Source organism: Homo sapiens, chromosome 13, assembly GCF_000001405.40.
Source record: "Homo sapiens chromosome 13, GRCh38.p14 Primary Assembly".
Classification (NCBI taxonomy): Eukaryota; Metazoa; Chordata; class Mammalia; order Primates; family Hominidae; genus Homo; species Homo sapiens.
The window spans coordinates 106,743,577-106,757,197 of NC_000013.11; the positions used below are offsets into that span (position 1 = coordinate 106,743,577).

The 13,621-nt window shown below is 36.7% G+C and overlaps 1 long non-coding RNA gene across 2 annotated transcripts; it reads left to right on the top strand.

The window, feature by feature from the left end:
- Positions 1 to 9,886: 9,886 nt before the first annotated feature.
- Positions 9,887 to 12,466, top strand: LOC107984627 (uncharacterized). Of its 2 annotated transcripts, XR_001750002.1 has the most exons (4): positions 9,887 to 10,469; positions 11,095 to 11,162; positions 12,016 to 12,330; positions 12,430 to 12,466. It is a non-coding gene; the product is annotated as an uncharacterized LOC107984627 (long non-coding RNA). The 2 variants fall into 2 exon arrangements; XR_001750001.2 differs by having other exon boundaries at positions 12,016 to 12,466.
- The last annotated feature ends 1,155 nt before the right edge of the window (positions 12,467 to 13,621 follow it).

A 13,621-nucleotide genomic window follows, 5' to 3' on the forward strand; every position in this document is an offset into this window, starting at 1 on the left:
ATCTTCATTTGCTCTTTGGGTTTTTACAGAAATATGACCATTTCAGTTCTGGTAATGGTACTTTTCAATCAGGACATACCTTATTTGAAAACAGGTATTTTTTAAAAGGAGGATTTGCCAAACTAGAGTAATCAGTGCCTCCCCTTGGAAATCTCATTTTGGAAAGGTTTGATATTTAAAAAATATTTATGGTGTCACAATTTTAAAAAGTTGATGCCAAAGTATGCATTTAAACAAAAGAGGTTAGAAATTATTAAAAGTGAGACAGTCTGACAAGTAGACATGAACAGTCACATATTGGAAAGACTATTCCAAAACAGGTCACCAATGAACTGCTACTGATGCCTCTTTGAAACTCTGTTAATATCCTTGAGAAAAAGTGGAACTCTCACCTGGCAAAGTTGGGGCATGTGGCAGGATGGTTTCCTGGGCACTCCTCTGCTCTTACCATTTTGTCACCATGATGCTTTCTAAACTGTTTGTTATTCATCATAACTCCTTTTATTTTGTCTTTACACTTGTTTGATTTTATTTTTGCCATTTACCTTTTGATATTATTCTTTTCCTAATGTATTATCTTTCATTCATTTAAAATAATTTTCATTTTCTTAGATTGACTTTGTAAGACCTTCATATTGAAGATAAACACGAGGAAACTTTGAATTATCATAGATGAGTTTCTCACATTATTCTCACATGCACCTTTTCTCTATCTTTTCCTACCATTATTATTTCTCTCTACTTATTTTCTCTAGGATCCATTTTTTAAAAGTTGATCCATGTGTAAGCAACTCCATGACTCTGCTAGTGCAAGCGTTGCCTAGAATTCTTATTTCATTTCTCTGATGTCACCTAGCAATGTGTCTGATGCTAGAATCACATTAATGAAGACTGAAGAGTTGAGAAAGAAAATTGTTCATCAAATTAGCTTGACTTTCCTGGAACACGACAAGCAACTCAAATGCACCAGATAGAAACTCACAAGTAGAAAACTTTCAGGTACCATACGCCTTTCTTACAGAGAAGTTAAAACCTGAAGAGCTGTTTACCTGGGAGCATTTTTACTAACATTATCCCAAGCACTGGTCCTGGGCCTTGGTCGACAGGCCTCTGAAACCTTTCACCTGATTTCACGTCACCATGAACATAGACATGGAAGACCGGTTTGGTGAATATTGGTGTCCTGGTGTTTTGGGGTGGAATGGAAATTTTAACCCCTGAAAATCACACGACTACTTCTTTGTATCTGTTAAAGTATATAACTGATTATAAAGTATGGCTACAGTTGGAAGCAAAAGTGACATTTGAGGGGGAGAAACTCACATAACCTGAAAGAAAGGAAGTAAAGTTAGATAGTATATAAGGGACTATGTCTCACTTCCCTGGTGAATTCACTGATATGATAACCTACCTGTAAGTAGCTATGGCCAACTAATATTAGAAAAGTGGAGGGCTGCCCAGTGCTGCTGAAACTAAGCTCCCAGGCTAGGGTTGGTGTAAATTGGTTTCTTTGTTTGTTTAATTTTGTTTAGAAAAGTTGTACTAAAATTGGACTAATGAAAGCATTGCTACTTATTAATTGCTCCCAACCTGAATATACTTTAGTTTTAATTCCTTATTCTAATGTTTAACAGAAAAATGGACAATAAGAATTTCCCTTTGCAGTTTTCAAACTTTCACAACCAAGAAAAATATATGTACAACATAAAATAATTATACAAAAAAGACTACTTGAGTAAGTTATCAATGTGACCAAGTTCATATTATTGTAACTGGGTTCACATTATGACCAGTTCATTTTTCAAAATAGCCCCCATATACATCCAATACAGAAATGAAATTAGAGGGATAATCATCTGTTTTGTGACACAATAAAATATGGTTTAATGGAAGTAGTTTACTTAAATAAAATGTTTCCATTACAGTTCCATGTAAACATTCAAGCCATACCTGTGTCTAAATTATTCATTGATAGAGCATCATTCATGCTCCCCTAGATTAATGGGAGCACATTCTCAATGGTCCAACTCAGTGACCAAAACATAATTTTAACAAGGTAGGAGAATGTAGGAATTAGACAGTTTGCAGCTGTCAAAACATTCCTGGCCTTATTGAAGGGACCTTGAACTTTTATAGGCATACCTTTAATTTCCAGAAAGATTGAAAAAAATCCCTTGTAGTTTTGTGTATTTGAATTTTTTTTTACCTTTTATTTTTAGTTCTAGGGTACATGAGCAGGACGTACAGGTTTGTTCCATAGGTAAACGTGTGCCATGGTGGTTGGCTGCACCTATCAACCCTTTACCTAGGTGTGAAACCCAGCACGCATTAAATTGCCAAAAGCAATAGCAACAAAAGCAAAAATTGAAAAATCGGATCTAACTGAATGTTGAATTTTAAAATAGTCTCTCCCAAGCACAGCAAATGTTTTTTAAGTATTTTTGTCATGTAAGGAAAAGAAATTTTTCTTTAATCAGCATATCCCATAAAGTCAGCAAAAGGTCACTGCCTAAGGACATCAGATTATTTAAGGCCAAGGTATAAAAAAATTAAAAATAAACTGGTGAGGAGAAAAATAAAAAAGGTAATTAATATGGTAAATAAAATATTTCCCTGGTAAAGGTAGCTAGTGAACAGGAGGTCACCAAATCTCATACTTCCCCCAAGTGTGATTAATGTAACTCTCAAAGAATATGTATTAAGCATCTCCTAAGAGGACACTTTTCTAAGTATGAGCGACTGAAGGTGTGTGCGTGTGCCTCTTGGCGCTGGCTGTCCATCTGGTTGTCTCTGTTTGGAAGATGTCGATGTTCCTTTCTTAGTGCCCTCCTCATCCACCAGTAGAGGCTGCCCTGGGCTTCATGGATGTCTGGAAACTTGGTTTCCCTCCTTGTTTACCTAAGTCTGGGTGTACAGGGTAGAACTAAGTAATTTACTCTGATGAGATTGCACTGTTCTAGTGTAAAGTGGAACGGTGATGAAAAGGATAGGCTTTTTTGTTCCAAGTTCTATCCCTTACAGTATAAAGAGTAAGAGTTGAAAAGTGAAAGGTAAGTTATTGTAAGGTTTTGCTTTTTTTTCTCCTCATGAAGAATATTTAAGCCCTTTGGTCTTGGTAGTTCCAAAATGTCTACAGCCCTGGAGTTTACTAGGAAGTCACTCATTCATGCCTCTTTGAAATCTTTTCAAAAACCTAAAAGAATTTGCAGCTTTTAATTGAGGGTAACCAGGGTTACAGTTAAAAAAAAAAAAAGTGACAACTAAAAACAAATAATTTACTAATTATTTACTTTTTACTTATACTTATCAATTTACTAAAAATGTTTGAGCCATATTAAATGTTAAAGCATGCCTAAAGTGAAGTAATTAAAATACAAAGAGAGCACAGTTACGTTAAAATAATGAAGAAAGAATGAGTTGTATCTTAATAATGTCCAGGCACAAATTTAGCTTTAAGCCTCTGGAAATATGTTTTTAAAAAAAAGGATTAGATTGGATTAGATTAGATTTGGTCCTTGGTGTCAGATGAAAAGAAAAAAGGACAAAGCAAAGTAATGAAACCTATTTTTAATTGACTTAATTCTACAAAGTATGCTTCATATGTGGATCCTAACAAAAATATATTCTGCTGGGTCATTTCAACCATGGTTTTGCAGAATTTCCTGCTTAAATCAAATGCTATTATTATTCATCATCAGAACATCATGTTTCTCTCCAAGTAGTTATTATAATAGTAATGTGTGTGTGATTATTATCTGTGTTTTGAACTAAGGGAATGTAAGTTTTATGAGAGTAGAGACCAAATCTACTTTTGCTCAACTTTATATTTCAGGTGCAGGGCTGGCATAGGGAAGCACTTGCTAAAAATCTGTTACATGAATGAATTATTCTAACGAATGCCTTTCATACCATCCCCTCAAATCCCAGGACATTATGTTAAATTTCAACCTGTGTGATAAATTTTATGAAAAAAAGTGAAAATAATGTAATCTAATTGCTTGGTTTTTGCATATGATTATTGAGTAATACAGCTTGGAAAATCTAGAGGAATGTGTGAATCAAATGCCCCTTAGATTGTCCCTTCTAGTATTGGATGGTAAGTTCTGGCAAGAGCTGAACTTACAGGAATTTGCAGTTAAATTTTCTAGAAACAAAATGCATCCACTACTTACTCTAATGTTAAAGAAAACTGTACACCAACATTAAGTGGAACAGTATACATTCTTCTGTAAAAATTCAGAGGTTTGTGTTGTGTTATGGCCTAGGTGGAGAGCTTCATCCTTTTCCCTCGAAGACAGTGATGTCAAGAGATGAGAAGGGGACTTGGGGGCCAGCCAAGCTTGAGTTGAAGTCCCAGTCCTGCCTCTTGATATCACTGTGACACTGGGCAAGTATTCTTTGCTTAAGCTGCAAGTTGATGCATTGTGAAGTGTGGCAATGACACCTGCTACTTCTCAGAATTATGGAGGCAAATTCACAATGAATGAAAAATGTCCAACACGTAGTAGTGTAATACATAGATATACATTTTTAATGGATGCCTTCCTCAGGCTGTCTGCTCAATGGAGGTGAATAATGCCATTCAGCTTCACCAAAAGTACACCTAATTCCCTAGAGGGAATTCTGTAACTGGAGGTGACTTTTGAGGTCAATAACATGTTAGTGATAGTTTTCCAGAAGTTTCCATAATATGCCTAGATCTCAATCACTAGTCACTGAATTAAGAGTAAGTGAATAAGTCAATAAATTTGGATCTGAAAGCCCTTGATTTTGGTTAAGTTGTAGCCGAAATAAAACCCTAAGGCCAATTGACATTGGAGTTTATTTGAGCTTTTACATTTCCCCTTCTATGGGCTTACCTTTTAAAATCTGAGTTTTTGAATACCCTTGAAAATTAGAAAATTTCTGATTATAATTAGTTTTTTTCAAGCCAAAATGTATTCCATCTCTTTCTTTACATTGTACACCACATCTAAAAACAGCCTCTCTATGTGCTTGAGTTTAGGTAACATGACATAAGGCTTTTGCCCAGAAATTAGGTATTAAATGGAAAGATAAATATTGATTATTATTACAGCATATTTTCTGGTAAATTTTTGTATTACTGGATGCTAACAGACATTCAATGAACTTAGTAAATAACATCATTTAGAAACAATCTTTATTTTATTTTAGCCTAGGTGTCTCTAACTTGCATAATTGCTTTATTTATGAAAACTGGAATAGTCACAATTTCCTCTGTAAGAAATCTATGTTTCACTGAAAGATAAACAATTCTCTTTTTGTTTGGGAGACAGATTTAGATTTTAATAACCTACACTCTCCCATCTGCTCCAACTATAAATTGTACATACAATTTATCATTATGACAGGATGATGTCAGGTCAGCATCATTGGGCAGGAACGGCATATCTAGAGTCCACTCTCTTCTGAAAAAGTCATCGGGTCCTTTGTCACTAAGAGCAGGCCATTTTAGTAGTTTGGAGAGCTACCATGTGATACAGAAAGAAGGGGCATGTACTCCCAATAGATCTCAGAAGCAGTGTGACTATTTTAGAAAGAGATACAGCTAAACATATAAAATAATGCAATTACACTGCTATATCAATTCCTAAATCTTCAAGCAATTAACCAAATTATCTAAAAGGATCACAAACAAATGATATATCCAAGCTTAGGATAGACAATATTTTGTATAAAAGGTATTTGAAAGCAAAATGGGCATCTGTCTCACTATTTTGAAATGTTTGAAAAGAAACATGGATTGATGAAAATAAGAAGTTTGGGTTCTAGACACTCACTCTACAACCCCCCCTCCCCGCCACACACACGCAAATGATAGACCACAAGTAGGCCTCTCTTAAAGTCTGTGACTTTGTACCTTTAAGAAGAATAGGCAGGAGTCCACGCTGAGAAACATCAAGTGTTTTGAGATTCGCCTGGGGATCCTGCAGTGCTTCACAGCTGTGATTGTTACCATTTGCTTATTAATTCTGATAAAATATGAGATGCATTAAGTTACTAATTTTTTTTTAAATATCTGTTGTTTAAGTCTTCTAGAAGATAGTGAATTCCACTGCAGAAACAGAAAATTTGAGTGGCAAGAGAAAATAACAGGGATGTCCTGTGTACTTATTGTACCTCCACTGTGTTACAGGTTACTGGGGACTGTGACCTTGGGTGGTCCTAGACCTAGAGCTGAATCCACCAATAAAAAAACGTCTCACAGGGGAAGGTGGTCTCCACACTCAGCAACTTAGTGCCAGCTTAATTAAGGTCACTGAGGATCTGCAAACAAAACCAGAAGGAATCCATGGGTAAAAAGAGGATGATCAGCATAGAAGGAGAGGGCTAGGGGAGCAAAGATCATTTATGCCCCTCCTGCCCTAGGTTAAAGCATAACCTCAGCCTTGGAGGAACAAGATTGTTATCACCCAATGGGTTCATCTTGCCCGCTGTCCAGAAAAGCCAGTTTATTGACACAGCGTTATTGCAATAGAAAAACATTTAATAAACACAGAGCCTTTTAAATGGAAGACCAAAGTTTTATTATTAGTCAAGTAAGTCTCCCTGAAAATTCAGAGGCTAGAGTTTTTTAAGGATAGTTTGGTGGGCAGGGAGGTAGGGAATGGGGAGTGCTGATTGGCTGGGGTAAAGTTAAAAGCATAAGGAATCAAAGCTGTCTTTTTGCACTGTCAGTCCCTGGGTGGGAGCCACAAGACCCGATGAGCCAGTTTACCCATCTGGGTGGCATCAGCTGGTCTATCAGAAGGCAGAGTCTAAAAAATACCTTGAACACCAATCCTAGGTTTTACAATAGTAATTTTATCCACAGGAGCAATTGGGGAGGTTAGCAATATTATGGCCTCTGGCTGCATGACTTCTGAGCCATAATTTCTAATCTTATGATTAATTTGTTCTACAAAAGTCGAATTCCCAAGCAAGGAGGGTGTTTGTTTTGGGAAGGGGCTGTTATCATCTTTGTTTCAAAGTTAAACTATAACTTTCACGGCTTAAGCCCATGAAAGAACAAAGGCTACTTAGAGGTTTGAAGCAAGATGGAGTTGGTCAGGTCAGATATGTTTCACCATCAAGATTTTTGAAAGGCAGTTTCATGACCCTCCAGTCTCCAGAGAGTTGGGATATTCACCGGGCCCTTCCAAAGCTTAGATCAAACACCAACTTCCAAACATTTCTCTTATTCCTGTTTAGATTAAATGTATTAAATAAGCTATGGAGAAATAGTTTGACTTCTTAAGTGCCACTGAAAGGGGGATGGCCATGTCTTAGATAAGGGGATAGGATCTTGTGGGTGCTAGGAAAACATAGCTCCCTTATAGATGATAACTGTTTCTAGGGTTTGTGGAACAATTCACTGTCAATCTTCCAAGTGTGAACCTGCTATTATAAGTCTAATCACCCTGGGCATCCTATATATTTTTATTGTTTAATCAATTTCTGAAATGAAAAGACTGAGGATGAGATAGTGGCACCTGGTCACTCAACCTTCTGGTTGCCCCTGAGAGACTCTACCTGCACCCAGGCGCCTTCAGACACAATAACAGGACCAAACTCACACATTTGACCACACTCACTATCGTCAAATGTGTGTACAGCTTGCAGAGTGAGTCTCCCTGATTTGTAATAGAGCCTTATGGTCTCTTCTGGCCAATGATGCCTTTTCTTAATCTCTTTCCAATGCGAGCTAGAGCTGTAGAATAAAAGGCGATGCAGTACGGCAGCCAGCACCTTAGACATTCCAGCTGGCTTGGGTTTGAATCAAAGCTCTGCTACATCAGAGCCTGCCTTGGCCCCTCTGTGCCACAATTTCCTCATCCGATTGTGCCTGCCTCGTGAGTTTTTGGGAGGATTAACTGAGGGAGTACAACAAAAGTGGTTGAAACAGCGCCAGGTGTACCATAGGAGAGTTGGCCTTGGGGTCTAGCATGGGTCTTATACACCCTAGAAAAGATTCACAGAGGAGGAAATTAAGACCCAGAGAAGCAGCATGAGTTGTTTCAGTCATGCTGGCCTCGTTGAGATGGAAACCCAGGGCTCCCAGTTACTGTCCTAGGTTCTCTCTACTCTCACTACTTGTTTTTAACTTATGTTACTATTAATACAAAGAACATAAACTAGTTTTTAATGGGGTTTTTTTTTGTTCTAGGACATATATACATTAGCAAGATTGTATTTATTTAAAAAAAAATCACTTTATGTCTTTTATTTTCCAACTACAGGTTTACGTTGCACCATCAAAGTTGCTATCCATTTTTTATGATCAGTTATAGAATCTGTGCTTATTGAATGTGATGTGATACCAGAAACATTATACATGGTATACCTGAGCTGTCCTAGTAGAGATATTATAGAAGAAAGCATACTTACACTCATAGATCTAAACAATGACATCTGATTAAGAAATGTTACTCATACCATATGACTTGAAAAGATGGGAAGACAGAAATATTAAAGGAATCACATTTTAAAAGAAGATATTTTTATTTCTTAGATTTCAGCATTACCCATTTATTTTTTCATCATAAAAGTAAGGAAAAATGTTCAAACTAATAGAAATAGCATATACTACTATGATGAGTAAAATGTCTCCTTAACGTGACTTTGAGACTAAGAAGTCTAAAATAAGGGGTTCATACTGAATCTGATCCTCCAATGACAGCAACTTCTTTCTAGGCTGTTTTTAGTTAACAGATTAGAATACTTTCCCTTCAATATTTATATGATGTTTTTATCAGTATCTATAAAATCTTATTTTTCTCTGCTGTATCAAAATGAGTAAAATACTTTCAGATGATCTCTCATGAACAACTATTTCATATTATCATGCTTTCTTTTAAATGTCTTTACTATATCTTTCTGCAGAATGGTAAAAATATAGTTTTAATACGTTCTTCCCAGGCTACTGCAAGTTAACATGAAAAAAATATTCAAAAAAAGGAAAAATATTCATATGCATTTTCTATAGATACGTATATCTGCCTTCCCGCACCCAGTCAGGACAAAAAAAGAAATTATAATAAATCTACTCATTTCTAACAACCTCCTTGGGCAATTCTTCCGCTGAATTATCGTATTTCTTTCCACCAAGGAGAAAAAACCAACTGAGTGTTAGGTTAGTTCTACGGACATGAACAAGCATTTCCCACAGGATGTGTGTGTGAGAGTTTGTACCCAGAACTCAGACTGGTGGGAAAATGGAAATTAGATTTATGAGAAATTGATGCTGATTCTTAACTTTTCTCATTTTACAGCCCATTGTTTTCAGAAGAGTATGTGTTTCTCATGGGCAAAGGAGAGAATCCAGAGTGAGAAGCTGAAGAAAGTGGGAAGTCCTAGATTGGCGTGATTTCAAAACGTATGATAAGATGCAGGAGCTCATCAGCTGTGGCTGAGGCTGAGTGGCTTCCATTGTGACACAGAGGGACATTGTAAGAGCTTTAAAAAGCAAAGGGGATTCAACCAGGCGATTGTTCAGGACACTGGAGCTGCAAGAAAAACTAACAGCTGGGTCTAAGTCAAACTGCTTTGCACCTCCCCTTCTTTTTTTCTTTTCTTTTCTTCTTTTTTTTTTTTTTTTTTTTTTTTTTTTTGGTCATTTCTAGGTGCAAGTGGGAAGGACCATAACAGAATTATTGTGTTTCTCTAACCCAGGAAAGGAAATTCAACACTCTGGTGCATTCACCCTGTGAACAAGCTTTATTTTATTCCAGGGGAAACAAACTGAAATTTCAGTGTAGGCAAGATGGCTGTTTCTGTCGCAGAAACATTGAGAATATCCCTTAGCAGAATGTAACTCTTAATCAGGGTTGTTTATTCACGCCGGGAGCACGGCAGGTCACGCTGCTCACTTGGTGCCATTTGGTCTGCCCTGAGCCTTCCTGGACAGGAAGTCCTTAAGATTAAAGATTATATTTTTATGGTCTCATGCCTGCCTACTCCAAGCTATTAACTGAAGAGAAATGTAACTAGAAGTCAATTTGTAGAAAGGATATTAACGGTCTTTGGTGTGTGTCACAATGAAAAATAGGAAGGAATCAAGGTGGAGTAGTGGAGAGAAGAAACCAGCTTGGTTATTGTTTGGAGTATTGGAAATAAGAGTATTTCTGTGTGGAAGCGGAATTGTCATTGCATATGTAATTAAAACAAAATTGATAAAAAACGTAGATATTAGGATATTAACAGGTAGGCCATATAAAGGATTTCATCTTACTTACTCCGGCTGCCTTTTTCAAAGCACTCTTTTTCCAAAGGAATGTGCAGGAGAGAGAGGCTGTTTTCTTTGTTTGTTTTTCAGTTGTACTTGATGCTGTGACGTATCCTACAATTGTCTAAATGCAACGCGTTTTGAAAATGTCATTTCTTCACACCAGCCTGGTGGGTGACCTGTGGTTCTGCATTTGATAAACATGCCCCTTGGGTTTATATTTTTGCATTTACTGTTTGTCAAGGTAAGGTAATAAGGCGTTATGTATGATTAAATTAAATTTGAAAAAAAATTCTTTTGGCTTTTCACAATGAGTCATTGTTAATAACAACAGAAAATTCATATTTATTTCCTATGCATGTTCTATGATAGTTTTAAGACTCCTAAGTTTGAATATATATAAGTCTTGAGAGATGACTGAAATTTTTGGAACTTTGGATGTGTCTGTACGCGTGCACATTGGAGTATTCACTTCAACGTGGAAATGAAGCTGTTCCAACATTGTCCATGAGGAACGTTTTAAATTTTTGATTCCTTCTAATCCTCTGTTAACCTTCAATAAGTCACGAATTCAGTCATAGAAATAGTAACATAATCCTTCTTATAGGAAATAATTTCATTAATTTAATAATTCAGTTAAACAATTGCTGAGTTATCAATAAAGCAACTGCTTATTAATACATAACAGTAATTATGTACATTAATCTAATGTTCATCTGAAAACTAGAGGATAAAAAGTTTGGCATTAATAAAATAGATCATTTCTAAAGGAATATCATAACGGCCTAATGTTTTGATTTGGAAAAATGAAATTCGTTCAAATTTTAAAAATACGATTTGATTTAAAAGCAGATATATATTCTTTTTAGAAAATTTGAAGAAAAACAAAGAAAAATGCAAAGAAGAAAATAACAGTTATCCATGATCTCATCATCCGGTAATAACTACTGTGAACATTTGGGTTTGGCTAATTTCAGCTCCTTTTCTATGCACACAGAGCTCTTTAAGTAGCTCTATACAAATCTGCCAATGCCAGTAGCTTTCAAAACGGGATTCTGTTCCATCATTTCTTTTTACATACTATAATGGGAATATTTTCTAATTGCGTTGTTCTTCCACAATTTACATTATTGTGTACTTCATCAGCTTTTTATTGTTGGCCATTTAGTTTTATAATTTTTTTCATAGCAGGTACTTTAAGTGGGAATTTATCTTCACGCTAACCACTGTGGGCTCCTGACAATGTAGCTGTGTTTGAGGGGCAGTTGGATATTGAAGACATTTTTAGACCTTTTTTGGAATAAACTCCTTTAGTCTTTCCTCCCATTGTTTGTACCTAGAGCTCCACACTCTAGATTTCCCCATTTAAAATTCTCTCACTGTTCTCTTCTATTAGCTAACATCAAACTGCTAAATTTATTTTGGAGTTTATACTTTGGAGAAAAATTAAATGGTTGTCTTAGGTACTGTTATTTGGCTCATGTGGAAAAAAATTAGACAGTTTTCTTAGGTACTCTTATTTGGCTCATGTGGGCTTTTTAGAACCGAGATGTATTTTCATTCATTTTTAGGTGCATCACGTCAATACCTAAATATTATAATAGATTATGCTTGTGCAAATTTCCTCAGACAACCTGAAAGCAGCTTCCTTCTAATTTGTAAAGGCCAATTTTGCACTTATCTGCCAGGGTTAAGAAAGTTTTCTTTCCTGTTCTTTCTCTCGTTTTTGTCTTTATATGGTGGTGTTGTCGTTGTTGTTGTTTATTTGTTTGTTTGTTTTTTATAAACAGAAGGTGGCTGTTTCATGCCAGGGTCTGAGAAGCCGCGCTGGTTGAGGACTGGGACTATTTTCCTGTGAACATGCGAGGAAGGTTTGCTCCGTGTCCTCCTGGAATGTGCTCTCCAGGGAAACTTTCCGGTGGTGAGATCACTCCTGCATGTATGAATCTTTGTTCTGATACTTCCGACCGCAGTTCATGCACATAACCAGTGAAACGTGAAACAGGTTCCATGGTGAGCAAGAAATTCTGGAGGTTATTCTGTTGTCCCCTGCATCACAACTTAGGCCAACATAGCAGCAGTCTCAATGTCATCATCCTCCATAGGTATACTTTATTGTTTTGTCACCTTTTTTTTTTTGAGAAAGAGAAAATGAGACATCACTTACTACTCTTAGTTGCTTCCCCATGTTTCTTTTGCTTCAGAGCCAAACTCGTTAATGAACAAGTTACAGAACACGGGGAAAAAACAAAGTACCTGGCTTGGTTTAGGCTCTGACAAGTATTCCTTATGGGAAATCTGTGAATGCACTGGGTGGATTCTCACAGGTATCGGTCTGGGCCAGCGCATCCTTGCCAGAAGACAGTGAATCTACACCCAAGATCTGAGATTGCTGCCAGTGCACAAGAAAATAGAAAAAAAGAAGCCCAGTGATAAAAGACATGTGGAATATTGTTCACCTGAATGCAGTAAATTAAAGAAAGTCAACCACAGTGATCACAGAGTGAAAAAACAACAAACAAAAAGCTACCCAAACTAATTAAAATTTTAACACTCTCCCCACCCCCACCCTTAACCCTAGCAGCTTTGATTGACATTTCATAGTTAAGCTAGTCCATTTGTTTTTAAAGCCAAAGTTCCCACAGCATAAAAATAGCACAATAGCCCCTGCTTGGCAGCTTGTGGACAAGTGCAAGGAGCTTGGAGAAGCGCTGATGGTTCTATTGAAGAAGCAGCTGTTTGTGTCTTCACTTCTGACCCGTGGCCGCACTCTGGGCTGGCTGTGCTCAAAGGTCTTTCACTCTCCCCCCTCCAAGCGGCTTGCTATTCACAAAACAGAAGCCAGGCGTGTGTTGGTTTCAGCTACTTCCAGAAGCAGATGCGGCAATTACCTTCAGAGGCAAGCATGAGATGAACTTTGAGTGGTGGCCGGCTTTTAGGATGGTGGTCCATCCAAGGAGACTTTTATTGCTGGTAATCCTTTTAGATCTTCAGCACCAATTGATGGTCTTTACTTCAAGCTATTGTCAACACAGATGGCGCTGGGTTTGGAATGCCAGAGGCAGACAAATCCTGCCTGTGTTTATCCAGTTTTAACTTTTGTGCTAAGCGATTGAACTATGAATGCTAGCAACAAAGAAACAAAAAGAAAGAATATTTCCATCAGATGTTATCTGTTCATTGTGAAAACTAATTAGGACACCTACACAGACTCACAGATAGGCTAATGTTAAATGATTATATATATCTATACATCCATATATATGTATATAGTATATCCGTGAAAGAAAAGTTTTAAAAATGAGATTGGTTTTGAAATCCATTACTCACCTCTTTATATAGTACTTACATTACCAATAGGGGGAGTTTGAAATGATTTATTTTTACAAATAAAAA